The sequence below is a fragment of the Homo sapiens genome, chromosome 2 (genome assembly GCF_000001405.40).
Source record: "Homo sapiens chromosome 2, GRCh38.p14 Primary Assembly".
Taxonomy (NCBI): domain Eukaryota; kingdom Metazoa; phylum Chordata; class Mammalia; order Primates; family Hominidae; genus Homo; species Homo sapiens.
In genome coordinates, this window is record NC_000002.12 from 3,137,241 (window position 1) to 3,153,760 (window position 16,520).

Genomic DNA, 16,520 nt, shown 5'->3' on the forward strand with positions numbered 1-16,520 from the left:
GCACCATCCCCTGAGAACTAGCATTTTAAATATGACACCAAATTATAATGTTAAAATAAAATGCGGGTTCCAGGTCCTTGGTGCCCCTCCTGCAGCTTGATCTCATATCATTCAATTCTCCTTGATGACTAACCCAGAGTGGCTCAGACTGACACACACATGTGTGACCTTTTAAAACTCAGTTCTTTCCTAGGAGAGAGTGAATGACTTTCATGGGGAGCCTGAAATCAACAGAAAGAGTGGGTGCTGTGCAAATTCTACCAAGGGCAGGAGCCACGCCCACAGGACAGAGGGAAGAGAGGACCAGCATGCAGGACAGAGACCTTCATTTGAAGATGAGACCAAAAGTCCAAATCTAATACCCTGAGGCTGAGCAGAAGGAATCCCCTGTCCATGACACCCCCTACACATGCACACACATACACATTCACACGTGCATGCTCACAGTCACACTCAGCCACACACATGCACACACTGTCACAGTCACACACACAGCCACACACATTCACACACACACATTCACACACACACATTCACACACAATCACAGTCACACACAGCCACACACATTCACACATGCACTCTCAGTCACAATCACACATGCATGCACACACATGCACATTCACACACGTACATATTCACACACATACACATTCACACGTGCATTCTCACATTCAACTCAGCCACACACATTCACACACATGCATATTCACACACTCTCAGTCACACACAGCCACACACATTCACACACTCACAGTCACACACGGTCACACACATGCACACAGCCACATTAACACACATGTACATTCACACAGTCACAGCCACACAATCTACACACATGCACACATTAACACACATTCACAGAGTCATACACAGCAACACATAAACACATTCACATACATGCACATTCTCATACATACTCATACATTCACACACGGACACAGTCACACACCCATTCATACATACACTCTCACAGTCACACATGGTCACACACATGCACATTCACACTCACACTCTCAGTCACACACACATTCACACACATGCACATAGACACACTCAGTCACACATGCACACACAGCCACATTAACACACGTACATTCACAGTCACACACAGATCTACACACATGCACACATTCACACACATTCAGTCATACACAGTCACACAGTAACACACACATTTACATATGCACACACATGCACACATTCACACACAGACACACCCTCAGTTACATACACATGCATTCACTCACACATACCACATATCGTGCCACACACATGCACATTCGCACACACACAGGCACGCACATTCACACATATATATTCACAACACACATCCTCATTCACACACATGAATTCACACATGCACATAATCAAATGCATGAATTCACTCACACACGCCACACAGCATGCCACACACATGCACATTCACACACATGCAAACACACATTGGCACACATTCGCAAACGTACGCCATCAACTGTGAACAGCCGTGAGACACCAACCTCCTGCACTCCCTCACGCTTCCCCCAGTGTGGCCACACCTGGAGTTGGTACCACACATGCATCCTGCATGTGTCCAGATCTGGGAGAACTACAGGATCCCAACTTGTGAGGTGGACTCCACAGTTTCCTCGGGCTTCCTGCAGACGCCTGCTTGGTACCACCTCTCCAGTGTGAGCAGAGCAACCTCAGGTCCCCTCAGAGGATAGGCAGCCACTCAGCATGCAGGGGCTGAGGTCATGGACCCCAAACATCCCATAGGGTCAGAAAGAGCCCCGGAGGACATGCGAGCCTTGTAGCAGCCTCAGGCTTCTAAGAAGAAAATGATCAGTGAAGAATGATCATTTCTTTTTCTCTTTCTTTTTTGGCTGTCCCACAAAATGCATCTTTTATGAGAGAAGAGAAAAAAGATAGAGCCAAGTTCACACCATCAGCTGAAATGAGGAATATGATGAGAAACTGGTCCCCGCTCACTGATGCCCATGAATATGTCAATGCATGTGGTATCAGCAGGTGTCTTCATTTCCCTCTTCATCTCTCTTTTATGAACTTCCTTTGGCAAGGTCAGGCCATGAAGATTCAGGTGTAGGACTGTCTTTCAGACAGCACGCCCCGAGCAAAAGCACGCTGATAGATCAGGGTGGGGGAAACAAGAAAGACGGTGTGTTTCTCAGAGTGTCTGTTATACAGTAGGAATAGTACGAAGAACTTTACATGCATCAATTAAATTAATTTCATTTCATCATTATTACCCCCATTTTACAGATGAGGAAATTGAGACTTCACTTTCTGGCTCAAAGTGGCAAAGCTACATTCAAGGTCAAAAGCAAAGGTCTTCAAGCCTGCGCTCCTGACTACCACACCCAGGAGATAGCAGTGCCTCATCAAGAGTGTCCAGGAGGCACCTCGGATAAGCCCCTTGAGACAGTGTTGAAGGAATTTCTGCCTCCAAACAGAAGTTTGATGCGTTGAATTCCTAGGAAAGTGAGAAAATGAAAGGAACAGTAACAGCACCAAAAACGAACGTTGAGCTCCCCGTGAGGCGACGCCCTCAACACTTTTAAGATGATAATGAGATACACTTCACAAAGGAAAAACCCTCATAAACTAAGAAACTCTGGGAAATCCTTATCTAGGATTTCTAAACAGATTTAAGTTATGAGTTCAAGAACTTAGAGCTTTTTGTCTAGTTTTACCTTCAAAACTGCACCTCATCAATAATGATTACTCCAAAATCACTCCCCAAGTGATTACTCCATAATCACTCCTTCTTAGTGAGATTATGTCCATCGTGAGAACAAAGGAGGCTGAATCCTGCCAGCCTCCCAGTTGTCTTCCCTTCGCCAACCCGCAGCTGGCAGTGCCTTGATCAATTTCCAGATTCGCTTTGATGACAGAGCTTTCCAGTCTTGCTCTCGACACAGCTCCTGTTATTCAAATATCTCTGAAGTCCCCTCTCAAAGAATCTGCCTCCTGCTGTGAAATCCTCCTCCTTCGTGGAGGATCATTTACACAGACAAATTTTCCCCTCCCCAAGCATCACCGTAGTCAGTGAAGAACAACAATAAAAAGAAAAATCAAATAGTGTTTTCTCTTTTTCCATTCTACAATGCAAACTTCATGCAAAGAAAACCTCTTTCTCCATAAATTATGGGGGCTACCAGGCACATTTCCCATGGACAAAGTCTTAGGGACGGGCTCCGAAGTTGAGAAGAGTTCCTACTCTCACCATCCTGAGGAGGCCCTGAAATGCAGACTGTGGGTGACGGAGAGAAGCTGCAGTCTCCAGGCCATGGCTCACATCCTCCCTCTAGACATCTAGATACCATTTCCACCCACAGACTACCACTCCCACAGCCCCTCAATCAATGCTGATAGACATGGAATCATTATCACCAACAGCCACTCCCACAGCCCCTCAATCAATGCTGATAGACATGGAATCGCCCTCACCAATGTTCATCTCCCAAAGCCCCTCAATCAATGCTGATAGACATGGAATCATTATCACCAACATCCACTCCCACAGCCCCTCAATCAATGCTGATAGACATGGAATCATTATCACCAACATCCACTCCCACAGCCCCTCAATCAATGCTGATAGACAGGGAATCATTATCACCAATGTCCACTCCCACAGCCCCTCAATCAATGCTGATAGACATGGAATCATTATCACCAACGTCCACTCCCACAGCCCCTCAATCAATGCTGATAGACATGGAATCATTATCACCAACAGCCACTCCCACAGCCCTCAATCAACGCTGATAGACATGGAATCGCCCTCACCAATGTCCACTCCCACAGCCCCTCAATCAATGCTGATAGACATGGAATCATTATCACCAACATCCACTCCCACAGCCCTCAATCAATGCTGATAGACATGGAATAGTCTTCACCAATGTTCACTCCCACAGCCCTCAATCAATGCTGATAGACATGAAATCATTATCACCAACGTCCACTCCCACAGCCCTCAATCAATGCTGATAGACATGGAATCATTATCACCAACGTCCACTCCCACAGCCCTCAATCAATGCTGATAGACATGGAATCATTATCGCCAACGTCCACTCCCACAGCCCTCAATCAATGCTGATAGACATGGAATCATTATCGCCAACGTCCACTCCCACAGCCCCTCAATCAATGCTGGTAGACATGGAATCATTATCACCAGTGTCCAGTCCCACAGCCCCTCAATCAATGCTGATAGACATGGAATCACACTCACCAATGTTCATCTCCCAAAGCCCCTCAATCAATGTTGATAGACATGGAATCATTATCACCAATGTCCACTCCCACAGCCCCTCAATCAATGCTGATAGACATGGAATCATCTTCACCAATGTTAATCTCCTTTTGAGTTTCCTACATCGTTTAGTCCTCCAAGCTAGAAACCTCCATCAGAAGCCATATTGCACCCCTCCCTTCCCACTTCAAACACCAGATCAGTTCTCAGAGATGTCCTGCTAACCCAGACCGTCCTGCACCCACCCTGCTGTCTCTGCCTTGCTGAGCTACCTCATCTGCCCTGGATGGTGGCATGGCCTCCTCTTTCACTGGGACCCCACGGTGGCTGTTGAAGTAACGTGCCTGAGAGCAGCCCGAAGGTGCCTGCCACACGTTGTCTAAAGAACTCTGTTATAGTCATGTGTGCATGCTGTCTTCCCCTTTAGACTGCAAGCTCCCTGTGGGCAGGGATGCGCCTCAGTCACCTCTGCATCCCTGGTTCCTGGTGCATAGCCACTGCCATTGTTGTGGTTTGTGATTGTTGTTGCTGTCATCATTGTCTGTAATTCTTGTAAGACATGGCAAAATCATTACCTAAGTAATTTTACACACCATGACACACTAGGTCTAGTCAACAGTAAGTTACAGATTTATTTAAACATCCAAGAACACTGCCTTCCTCTACTACCCCACACTCCTGTGGTTTCTGGGGTTCTCAGCTCTGTGTGAACTCCTGTAAGAGGCTCCCCCTTCAGAGGGACTCATCCAGAGGACCTTGATTAGATTAGAAGCTCGAAAACCATGACAGCCTAACTCAGAACTGCTCATGCGACACCCTCTTGAGAGGGTGAAAGTTATAGGTGAAAAAAGAAGCAAAGAAGGTTGCAGGAAGCTGGCATGAAGGCTGCCCCGAATGGGCCCGCGTGCAGAGCTCCCACAGAGGGCGTCTGGGCCTGCAGGTGGGCCCCACTCTCAGGTCTCAGAGGGAGTCAGGGGCATGACTAAGACAGGACTCATTCCTGTCCCCGCTGCAGAAGGAGAGCATTGGGCCTCTCCAGGGAACCTCTGTGCCCAGCCCTGCACAGGGACGCTTTCTTGGGTCAGGGACTCATGGGTCCCAGGGGAGAGGCCGGGCCACACAGCCTCAAGCAAGTTCATTCTTCCTCTCCTAGAGCCATCAAACAAAAGCAGATTTTCAAAGACAAGGAGACATATGGGTCCCTGAGCAATTCTGTGGCCACCTGAGGATGTCAGCACTGGCTGAAGAGATGTCTTAGAAAACACCCCCCTCCTCCATCCGAACGCACCACCACATTCTCCCTGCTCCCAGGCAGGGTGGCACCGCCACATTCTCCCTGCTCCCAGGTGGGGTGGCACCACCACATTTTCCCTGCTCCCAGGCGGGGTGGCACTGCCACATTCTCCCTGCTCCCAGGTGGGGTGGCAGGCTCTCTACCAGATGACCCGATGACGGTGGAGCAGAGTCCAGATCCCCCACCATCCCACAGACAACGCCGCCTCTCACACGCACACACACGCACATGTGTGCACACGCCTCACCCTGGGCACACGCCCCAAGGACAGCGCTTGCTTGGGAGAAGCCTGGAGGCTGTCCGGGGCAGCCCCACCCCTCCCAGACTGCATGACCTTGCTGGTTTATGCCTCTGCTTTCTTCTTGGTAAACAAGGACAGCAACAACCACGTCTCTCCCTGGCAGATAGCCCTGAGAATGGGTCCCAGCCAGGGTCCCCATGGGAGCAGCATCCAACAGCTCAGTGCCCTGAGTAGTGTCTGGGGACTGCGGTGAAAGGCCGCAGCCAGCTAACAAGGGCATTGCATGCGGCTCCTCCAGGAAAATGGGCATCTGAGCCTGTATTGCCAAGGTCAACAAGGAGAAAAGCTTGGCTCTGGCTTCCACCAAACTTGCTCCTTGCCAGAAGTCGGGCACCAGCCCCAGCAGGCCACGCAGCTCCATTCGCTTGGCTGTCGCTGTAAGAGGGAGCAAAAGAAAAGGCGGCAGACTGGCCCTTTCAGGGAAAGCAGTGCAGCTCACGTGTACAGCCTTGGCATTTTAATGATAATTATCTCTGTAGGAGTTTTCCTTTTTTTTCTGTAAGCCGGAGCCTTTCTTCTTCCCCTAATTCACAAGGCTTATATGTGTGCAGCAGCTCATGTGCACAAACACACACACACACGCACACTGTACAAACACATGCACCCACTGGCACACATACACATGTATACACAGAGACATATGCATGTGTGCACCCAGCACACACATGCACACACACACACGAACGCACACACCAGTGCACATGCACACACCAGCTCACAGTGCATGCACACACGTGTGCATTCACACACACACACCAGCAGCACACAGGCACGCACACACTCCAGGTTTCCTCGTGGCTGGAGAGAGGCTCGCTAAGGGTTTACCCCAGTCTGCCCTGCTCATGGCCTAGTGCCTGGCCCAGACTCCCTCACAGCCTGTTAAGGGAGAATATGGAAAAATCATCGCACCACCAACTTGGAGTTGAGGGGCCAAGTGCATCCCCTCTTTCCTGATGAGAGAGAACCACAATAGCCTACTCCAACCAAATTGACTCACCTGTCTGACTACGAATCAGCCTCACTGGACAACAGACAAAAAACACAGCCCATCTTCCGATATCTAGAGAAAACTGGAAGCTGTTCTGAGTTTATAAAAAATTTGAGTCTTCACAGTTTCCAAAACAAAGAATATAGTCTATGGTTGAAGTTTTATGTAAGTCAATGTTTTATGTAAAGTTCCCCAAATAATATCTGCAATCATAAAGAAAGTTCATTGTTGTGAAAGGGTGTGGACTTGGAGCCAGGCAGACCTGGATTAAAAGCTTGACCTCATCCTTGCTGGTGTGTGACCTGGGGTCTCGGGCAAGTCTCACAAAGTCTCTAAGCTTCTGTTTCCTCAACAATAAAAATGCCTACTTTGTGGAGTTGCTGGGATAATTAAACAAATTAGGTAACACATGTAAAGTTCCCAGCACAGTTTCTGTCACATTGGAGGGCTCAATGTCACCTCCCTCCCGTGACTTTGCAGAAAAGAATTCTCTGAGTGGAGATAACATGGAAAAGTCTTTAAAGGAAAAAAAGTCTCTCAGCTTCCCTTCTTTCAGGGGTCCAATATCCCCATCCATGCTCACCCCAGGGTCCTGAGTCTCACCCCAGGCCTGAAGTCCCATGGAGCCCATCCACTGCCATCAAAACCATAATGGCCAGGCAGGTGACAGATGACAGACACAGAGTTGAGAGGGCCCCAGAGGAGCACAGTCCAAGAGCCATCACTCGGGGGAAGACCTGCCCTGACCTGCAGGAACATGGAGCCAGGCCTGGACCCAACTTCCTGATTCATAATAACATGGATCCAGGCCTGGACCCAGCTCCCTAACTTGTAAGAAGATGGAATCAGGACTGGACCCAGCACCCTGACCTAAAGGAACACGGGTGGTGATGCTGGTGGGTTTCTCCCACTTTGCTCCCCTCACACCCCTGAAGACCTGTAATCCAGTGCCCAGCAGCTAGTGGACCCCCTTCCCGTGGTTCTCGGCCCACATGGTCTGTGGCTGGAGCCTGTGGTTGGGACCATTTTAAGCATTTGGCCGAGCTCATCTGCTGCCGTTTCTTCTCCTGTCAGAGCCTGGTTTTATGCTTTCCTATTTTAAACAAACAGCCGTTTGAAGGCAAACTCTCCTTTCCCTTGATCCTGTAGAACAGCCCTAGGAGGTGCTTTTCTGATTCCTCTGACGTTTCTGCCACTCCTCTAGGATCTTTCAACCTGTTCTCCCCTCTGAGCCCACACTTAGCGGGTTCTGAACTGCTCTACTCAGCCACCCCGTCCCAATCCCGTCTGGCTCCAGCCCTAGCAGTCCTGAAGCTGCCTGCGTGTTCTCCGCTAGGTCACTAGGTCACTTACCGGGCGGTGAATGGTCTCCATTAGGAAGCCCTGCAAAGTCAGAGGCTTAATACAACTGGTCTACTGCTCACCACCCTGAGGCCAGGAGCCCGGATAGGGCTTACCTTTGTGCAGGTGGCGTGTGCTGCGATGGCCAACGGGGGCTGGAGGGCCCGGGATGGCTTTGTCCTGTCTGTGGGCTCTGGATGGGGCACCGACTGGAGCCCAGCTATCCTCTCTCTCCCTGGCCCTCCAGAGCCCCTCTCCAGCAGGGTAGGTGGGTGTCTTCATATGGCAGCAAGGACCCAGATCAGAGGCTGGCACCGTGCCCTTCACAGCACGTAGTGATCAGAGCAGTCACCGCCAGCCTGGGCTGGAGGAGCGGATGCAGGTGAGAAGGCGTCACCGGCCTTTGGGACCAGGCCCTCGGGCTGCCACCTGCAGGCAGCCACCACCCGCCTGTCCTTCACACAGAGCTGGGTCTATTCCCCCACATCCTTCCTTCCTGGTGGCACACGGCCTGAGGCCCACAGAGGAAAGGCCCCTTTGACATGGGCCCAGTCCTGGGAAGCAGCAGGAGAACAGACACAGTTGCCAGATACGATCCCAGCTCTGCCACACGCAATTCCATGACCTGGAACGCCTCATTAACCTCACGGAGACTCAGTCTCCTTTGCGGTCAAAGGATTGTAATTGTACACACCTCCCAGGGCTGTTGGGGAAATTAATAGAATCCACTTCTGTAAAATTCTGTATTCAGCAGGCCCTCAACGGCTGGAAGCTATCACTGTTAGTAGAATGATCGCACTACCATCTCAGCAAAAGCCACTCAGTACATCCTGATTCCAAAGCAGGACCTGGACTCACTCATTCATGTCAACATTTAGGAGGTGCTATTCTACGAGTCACTTGGTTGGAAAGGGTGGGACCCTGTGGCCAAGCGCTTCTTCCTGCCCAGGGAGCTCGCCCTGGGGAGGTGGTGGGGACCAGCAACAGCTGCTAGGCAGAAACCCCGGCTCCACCCCTCTCACTGTGTGGCCTGGGGCAGCTGTGTGAGCCTCTCTGTGCCTCCGCTGTCAAATGAGAATGACATTGACCTCTTAGGATTAAATCAGAGAATGTTCCTAAAGTGCTGAGAACAGCGCCTGACATATTAAAAGCTTCGGATGCGTTTGTCATCACTGACATCTAATAAAGAAGAGAATAAGAGGGTTTTTCCTGCATTTCCCCTCTGACCTCTACCTCTTCTGGCTGAAAACCTTTAGGCCTAGTGCCCTCTCCTTTATTTGTTTTACGCTATGTTCTCTATAAGCCATGTTGAATCCTTAGTGAAATGAAGCCCAGCATAAATAAATGAACAAATGCGGCCTCAGATGCGTCCAACCTCACCAGCCCTCTCGCCCCCAGGATGTCCTCAGCGATCACCACGGCACTCTCTGAGGCCTGGCCCAACCTCACCAGCCCTCTCGCCCCCAGGATGTCCTCATCAATCACCACGGCACTCTCTGAGCCCTGGCCCAGCCTCACCAGCCCTCTCGCCCCCAGGAAGTCCTCATCGATCACCATGGCACTCTCTGAGCCCTGGCCCTGACCTGTGCCCTCGGAGGCTCCTGCCCGCTGCTGAGTCCGGCTGAGTAGTTGCCATTCCTCTTCCTGGTTAGATCCTGCTCCATTTCCAGCTGGAAAGTCGTCATCCACTCTGGGGATTTACTCTGCTGGAGTCGGTCAAGCCGCCCCAGAGCCTCACTCCCAGGGACTTCAATCTCACGGAGCCGGACTCAGATTTACTGTGGAAAACATCCCTGGAATAGGCATTGCCTCATCGTCCTCTCTGGGGAAGACGGATGCGCCGGGAGCTGCCCCAGTGGGTGCACATGGAGCTCCTCGGGGAGCTGGGCCCACCCCAAGGACCACCGTGGCTGCAGCTGGCTTCTTCATGCACTAGGGCTGGTCCTCGGAGGACAGTGGCAGCCACAGGCCACACTTTGGCTGTGCCGGGAGCCCCCAGACACCAGGACAGAAAGGAGACCTCGGGGAGACTGGCTTGCCAGGTCTCTGCCTCTCCTTTCTAGACAAGAAACCCAGACTTTCCGGGAGGTGCATCATCACCTGAAACCAAGAGGCCCAGACCCCGGCTGGGGAATAGTAAGTAAGGGATGCTGCAAACGCACTTGGCTGCAGTCAAACCTCTCTGCCCTGATGCCACTCTGCCGCCATCCCATGAAACACGAGAACGCCTGCCGTGGGGAAAGCCCTGCTCATCCCAGCTTCCCGGAGTATCTGTCCCAGGGAGTGAAGGGAAGCAGGGCCGGCTCGCTGGTGAAGACTCCGGCTTTCTCCATTCCCACCGAAGACCTTCCTGAAGGCTGGGCTGTCACCCCAGCGTCCCCGGCCCTGGCACCGGCACCAGACCCAGCACAAGGCCCCTCCTGCTGAACGGAAGGACAGACAGGCAGCGGCCGTGCGGATGAAGGACGGGTGTTCGCAGGTGGCACACATATTTTTTGTTCTCCTTAAATAATCATGACGTCCTCATTCTCCATGGAACCGCCCTTACCCTCCTCCTCTCTTCCTTTGCGGTCACTGCCGCTGTCCTGTGGGCAGTGCCGCCTCCACAGTAGTCAGTGCAGAGCAGGCCTGGATGCGGCAGTGCTTCAGAGGCCGGAGGACACCGCGGAGCCGCAGGCGCCCACAGGGCCACCCAGCAGCTCCCCCGCTGCCCCACCTCGGGCAGGCAACGGATTCCCCAATCCCTGCAGATAGAGACAGGGGCATCCCTGATCTCACGCAGGCACAGTGGGGAGTAAAGGGCAGTGCATAAGAAGCCCGGGGCTCCGAGCCTGGCACAGGACGCACGTTCCCACGTAGGTGGCTGCTTCCTCGCTTCTGCCACTGCAGCCTTGGCACACAGGGCTCTGGCCACGTGACCACCCAGGCTGCTATTCTCACTTGCCAAACACAGCCCGCCCTCATCCATCTCAGAGCCATGCTGGCTTCCTGGAGGTCCTGCCATGCTGACTTAGCATGTCCCCTGTCCCTTACTACCCTCATCCTTCCCCACAGTCAGACTCACCCTCAGATGCCCCAACTCTAGAAAGCCCACTGTTCCTCATTCCCTCCTCCTGGGACCCCAGTCAGCTCACTCAAGGGAGGCCTGGAAACAATGCTACCTCACTGTCCCTTAGCAAGGACTCCAGGCAACCTCTGTATTTACTGCAGTTGTTTACACCCTGCCTCATTCCAAGAGCAGTGTAGCTGGCAAAGGACACGCACGGAAAGGCTGATGCCACGGAGACAGATATGGATGAGCACAGCCACGGAAAGGCCTGAGGCTGCTCAGGATGAGCGGGAACTGTCACTTACCTTGAGCATCCAGGGCACAGGTGCCGTGCTGGACCCCCGCAGGGTGCACAGGCACTGAGAAGGGCTCAAAAGAACTGCCTCTGCCTGCAACACAGCTGAGGAGACCGACATAGCCATGTGTGAAACCCTGGGTGTCACGCGTTTCGCACTAGGGAAACACCACCCCTGCAGCTGGGGCAGAGACCCCTGGCAGCCAGCCCTGGAGGAGGCGTGGGCTCAGGGAGCAGCCGGAGATGGATGGGGAGGGGCCGGGACGAGGAGGCCGCGTGGCTAGCATGGCGAACATGGGCGGCTGGGCACCAGGCTCACCCACACATGGGGAATCCACGTGTCCTTTACCCACCTGGAACCTGTTTGCTGAGTTGATACATAAGATCGACTCTGTAGCAGCACTTGGTGAATTTAAAAAATTAATTGTAAAGGAATTTATACCTTATTGCAAAGACAACTGTTTATTTACTAGAAATTAGGCACTGAGATTCCTATCTTGATGGATTATAAAGCCCCTCCTGCCCCTGCCCATATTTCCAGTGTTGTTCCACCAAGTCTCTCCCATGAGAGGGAAGCTTCTTTGAGCCAATGTGGACCAGTCACGAAAAAGTGGGGGGACCAAGCATGAAGACCATGTTGTCACCAAGAGGCATTGTCCTGAGCCAGGTGGGGCCGGACCTTCCCCAGCCCCTGCCCCTGCTAGGAAAAGTGCTGCGACTCCATGGAAACCTTCTCCTGGGGTGGGAGCCAGAGGGAGACGCACCCAGTCTGCAGGGTCCGGCCCCCGTGGGCATGCCCAGTCCCTCAGGGTGTCTACCCATAGCCAGCATGTGGTCTTTCCAGAGATGCCTGACCTGGGCACACCTGGGCTTGGGGGAACCCTGACCCCTGACAGCCTGGGCGATGCCCCAGCAGCTGAGATGACAGCACACAGAGCCTTTTCTGCAACAGAACTTGGGGCTCGAGTGTACTCAAGGTGCTGACTCCTGGACGTTCCTGCCAAGGGGGTCCTGGAGATGGCTCGAGTGGCCAAGAGCTCAGGGCCAGCTGTCTACTCAAGGCACAGGCCCCAGAAGGTTGCCTGGGACAGTTTCCCGCAGACCTGGCCATTGCCATCTTAGTGACTGGGCAAGGACTTCGGAGATGTTTTTATTCAAATATTAGGTTGTCCAAGTAAAACAAATCTGCATTTCTTTTCTCTGAGGGATCCAGTGAGGTGGTTTCACTTTGACTTTTATTAAGCGATCTGTAAACATGAGTTTGGCTGATTTAGCTGACCTGCAGGAAAACGTTCCTCACCACTTCCAACCCTCCCACTCCATCCCAGCAATATGCTACAAAACGCTCAAAAACAGGTCCACTTAAACCTCACAAAATCAGATCAGTGTCGGGGCCTGGAGGGGAGTAGGGACAATGTGTGTGAAAGTGAAAAGCCATAGTTGGAAACTCTTCTCAAAGGACTATAATTTTAGTATTTTCAAGGGCAGACTACGATCCATAAGGACTAATGTGAGAATGTCCTGACCGGGTGCAGTGGCTCATGCTTGTAACTCCAGTGATTTGGGAGGCCAAGGTGGGAAGATGGCTTGAGCCAGGAGTTCAAAACCAGCCTGGGCAACATAGCGAGACTCCATCTCTACAAGAAAAAATTAAATAAAAATTTTAAATATTAGCTGGGCATGGTGGTGCGCGCCTGTAGTCCCAGCTACTTGGGAGGCTGAGGCAGGAGGATCAATTGAGTCCAGGAATTTGAGGCTGCAGTGAGTGATGACCATACAACTGCATTTTAGCCTGGGTGGCAGAACAAGACCCTCACTCTAAAAAGATTTTTCTTTCTTTTTTTTTTTTTGAAAAAAGAGCATCGTGGATCATCGTGGCAGATGGGAGTCAGGACTAGATTGCAGCTCCGACTCAGATGGATTGAGCAGTGTGTGGAGGCTCACATCATTAAGTTTAGATCCAGAACAAACCAGGAATCCCAAGAGGACCCACCGACCCTCTGAAGGAAGCAGACAGCTGCAGGACCTGGGAGACACCCCAAATACTGTGAGTGCCCCAACAGTGGAAATGGGAAAGGAAGATCCTCCGCCCCCGAGCACACACCCCCACTGGGGAAACTGAAGGTCTAGTTTTCGAGAGAAGTTTCCAACCTTACCTGGAGTTGAGTCAATTTAGAGAGCAGAGCGAAATACAGGGGTAGAGGAAGCAGCGGGAAAGGCCCTGGGAGCTCGCTGGGTCCCCAAGCAGCCCATTCCTACGTGGCAACACAAGGATCTTTTGGCAGGGTGACCGGAGGTGCAGGGCGGGGGAAATGCAACAGGGAGAAGGAATTCTCCAGCCGAACTTTGTAACAATTTGAACCAGGCGAGAAGCCTCCTGGCCAGAACTCAGGGGAGGGTGAGAGCTGGTGTATAGACTCCACAGGCGGGGGAAGAATGAAAGCCCTAATTGCTTTTGCAGCTAGGGGGTGGTGGGTAGCCTGGGGCGAGTTCTCAGCCCTGCTCGCCCACTGCCTGGAAACAGACTCGGTGCTGTTAGTGGGGCCACAGTGGGAGTGAGACCAGCCCTTCAGACTGCATGGGAGTTGGATGAGGCCTGTAACTGCTGGCTCTCTCCTACTTCCCTGACAACCTCCATGACTCAGCAGAGGCAGCCATAATCCTCCTAGATTCACCACTCCATTGACCTGGGAACCTCACCCCCATCCCCCAAAGCAACCACAGCAAGACCCAACCAAGGAGAGTCTGAGCTCAGACATGCCTAGCCCTGCCCCCACCTGATGGGCCTTCCCTATCCACTCTGGTACCTGAAGACAAAGAGCATATACTCTTGGGAGTTCTGGGGCCCTGCCCACCACCTGTTCCTCCCCATACTACCACAGCTGATGCTCTCTGGAAAGCACCACCTCCCATCAGGAGGCCAACCAGCACAAAAATAGAACATTAAACCACCAAAGCTAAGAACCCTCACAGAGCCCTTTTCACCCCCCTGCCACCTCCACCAGAACAGGTGCTGGTATCCACGGCTGAGAGACCCACAGATGGTTCACATCACAGGACACTGTGCAGACAACCCCCACTGCCAGCTTGAAGCCGGGTAGATGTGCTGGGTGGTTAGACCCAGAAGAGAGTTAATAATCACAGCATCTCGCCTCACAGGAAGCCACATCCATAGGAAAAGGCGGAGAGTACTAACTACATCAAAGAAACACCCCATGGGACAAAAGAATCTGAATAACAGCCTTGAGCCCTAGACCTTCCCTCTGATAGAGACTACCCAAATGAGAAGGAACCAGAAAACCAGCTCTGGTAATATGACAAAACAAGGCTCTTTAACACCCCCCCAAAAATCACACTAACTCACCAGCAATGGATCCAAACCAAGAAGAAATCCCTGATTCACCTGAAAAAGAATTCAGGAGGTTAGTTATTCAGCTAATCAGAGAGGGACCAGAGAAAGGCGAAGTCCAATGCAAGGAAATCCAAAAAATGATACAAGAAGTGAAGTCCATAGTCACCAAAACAGCATGGTACTGGTGTAAAGTAGGCACATAGACCAAAGGAACAGAATAGAGAATCCAGAAATAAACCCAAATACTTAACAGCCAACTGATCTTCGACAAAGCAATCAAAAACACAAAGTGGGGAAAGGACACCCTTTTCAACAAATGGTTCTGGGATAATTGACAAACCACATGTAGGAGAATGAAACTGGATCCTCATCTCTCATCTTATACAAAAATCAACTCAAGATGGATTAAAGAATTAAACCTAAGACCAGAAACTATAAGGACTCTAGAAGATAACATTGGAAAAACTCTTCTAGACATTGGCTTGGGCAAGGATTTCATGACCAAGAACCAAAGGGCAAATGCAAAAAAAAACAAAGACAAATAGCTGGGGCCTAATTAAACTAAAGAGCTTTTGCACAGCAAAAGGAACAGTCAGCAGAGTAAACAGACAACCCACAGAGTGGGAGAAAATCTTCACAATCTATACATCTGACAAAGGACTAATATCCAGAATCTACAACGAACTCAAACAAATCAGTAAGAAAAAACAAACAATCCCATCAGAAAGTGGGCTAAGAACATGAATAGACACTTCTGAAAAGAAGATATACAAATGGCCAACAAACATGAAAAAATGGTCAGCATCACTATTTATCAGGGAAATGCAAATCAAAACCACAATGCAATACCACCTTACTCCTGCAAGAATGGCTATAATCAAAAAATTAAAAAAAAAACGGTAGATGTTGGCGTGGATGTGGTGAACAGGGAACACTTCTACACTGCTGGTGGGAATGTAAACTAGTACAGCCACTATGGAAAACACTGTGGAGATTCCTTAAAGAGCTAAAAGTAGAACTACCATTTGATCCAGCAATCCCACTACTGGGTGTCTACCCAGAGGAAAATAAGTCACACGAAAAAGATACTTGCACACGCATGTTTACAGCAGCACAATTCACAAGTGCAAAATAGTGGAACCAACCCAAATGCCCATCAATCAACAACTGGGTAAAGAAATTGTTTATATATATATATATATATATATATATATATATATATATATATATATATGATGGAATACTACTCAGCCATAAAAAGGAATTAACGGCATTTGCAGCGACCTGGATGAGATTGGAGACTATTATTCTAAGTGAAGTAACTCAAGAATGGAAAACCAAACATCACGCTCTCACTGATATGTGGAAGCTGAGCTAGGAGGATGCAAAGGCATAAGAATGATGCAATGGACTTTGGGGACTTGCAGGGAAGGGTGGGAGGGGGCGAGCGATAAAATGCTACAATTAGGGTGCAGGGTATACTGCTCGGGTGATGTGTGCACCCAAAGCTCACAAATCATCACTAAAGAACTTACTCATGTAACCAAATACCACCTGTACCCCAATAACCTATGGAAAAAAAAATAAATAAATAAAGAATATCCTAAGGCCAGGTATATGGAGACCTACTGTAA

The 16,520-nt window shown here is 50.7% G+C and overlaps 1 long non-coding RNA gene across 2 annotated transcripts in view, besides 3 other annotated features; it reads right to left on the reverse strand.

Moving 5' to 3' along the window:
- Positions 1 to 16,520, reverse strand: part of LOC107985840 (uncharacterized) — a 57,332-nt gene that overhangs the window by 7,204 nt on the left and 33,608 nt on the right. The window lies entirely within an intron of this gene.
- Positions 14,213 to 14,282: an enhancer, noted in NCBI's record as "active region_15221". NCBI's record gives its function as "activates an Ori minimal core promoter by ATAC-STARR-seq in GM12878 lymphoblastoid cells {active_cell/tissue: GM12878}" and the evidence as "EXISTENCE:reporter gene assay evidence [ECO:0000049][PMID:35858748]".
- Positions 14,293 to 14,552: an enhancer, noted in NCBI's record as "active region_15222". NCBI's record gives its function as "activates an Ori minimal core promoter by ATAC-STARR-seq in GM12878 lymphoblastoid cells {active_cell/tissue: GM12878}" and the evidence as "EXISTENCE:reporter gene assay evidence [ECO:0000049][PMID:35858748]".
- Positions 14,563 to 14,622: an enhancer, noted in NCBI's record as "active region_15223". NCBI's record gives its function as "activates an Ori minimal core promoter by ATAC-STARR-seq in GM12878 lymphoblastoid cells {active_cell/tissue: GM12878}" and the evidence as "EXISTENCE:reporter gene assay evidence [ECO:0000049][PMID:35858748]".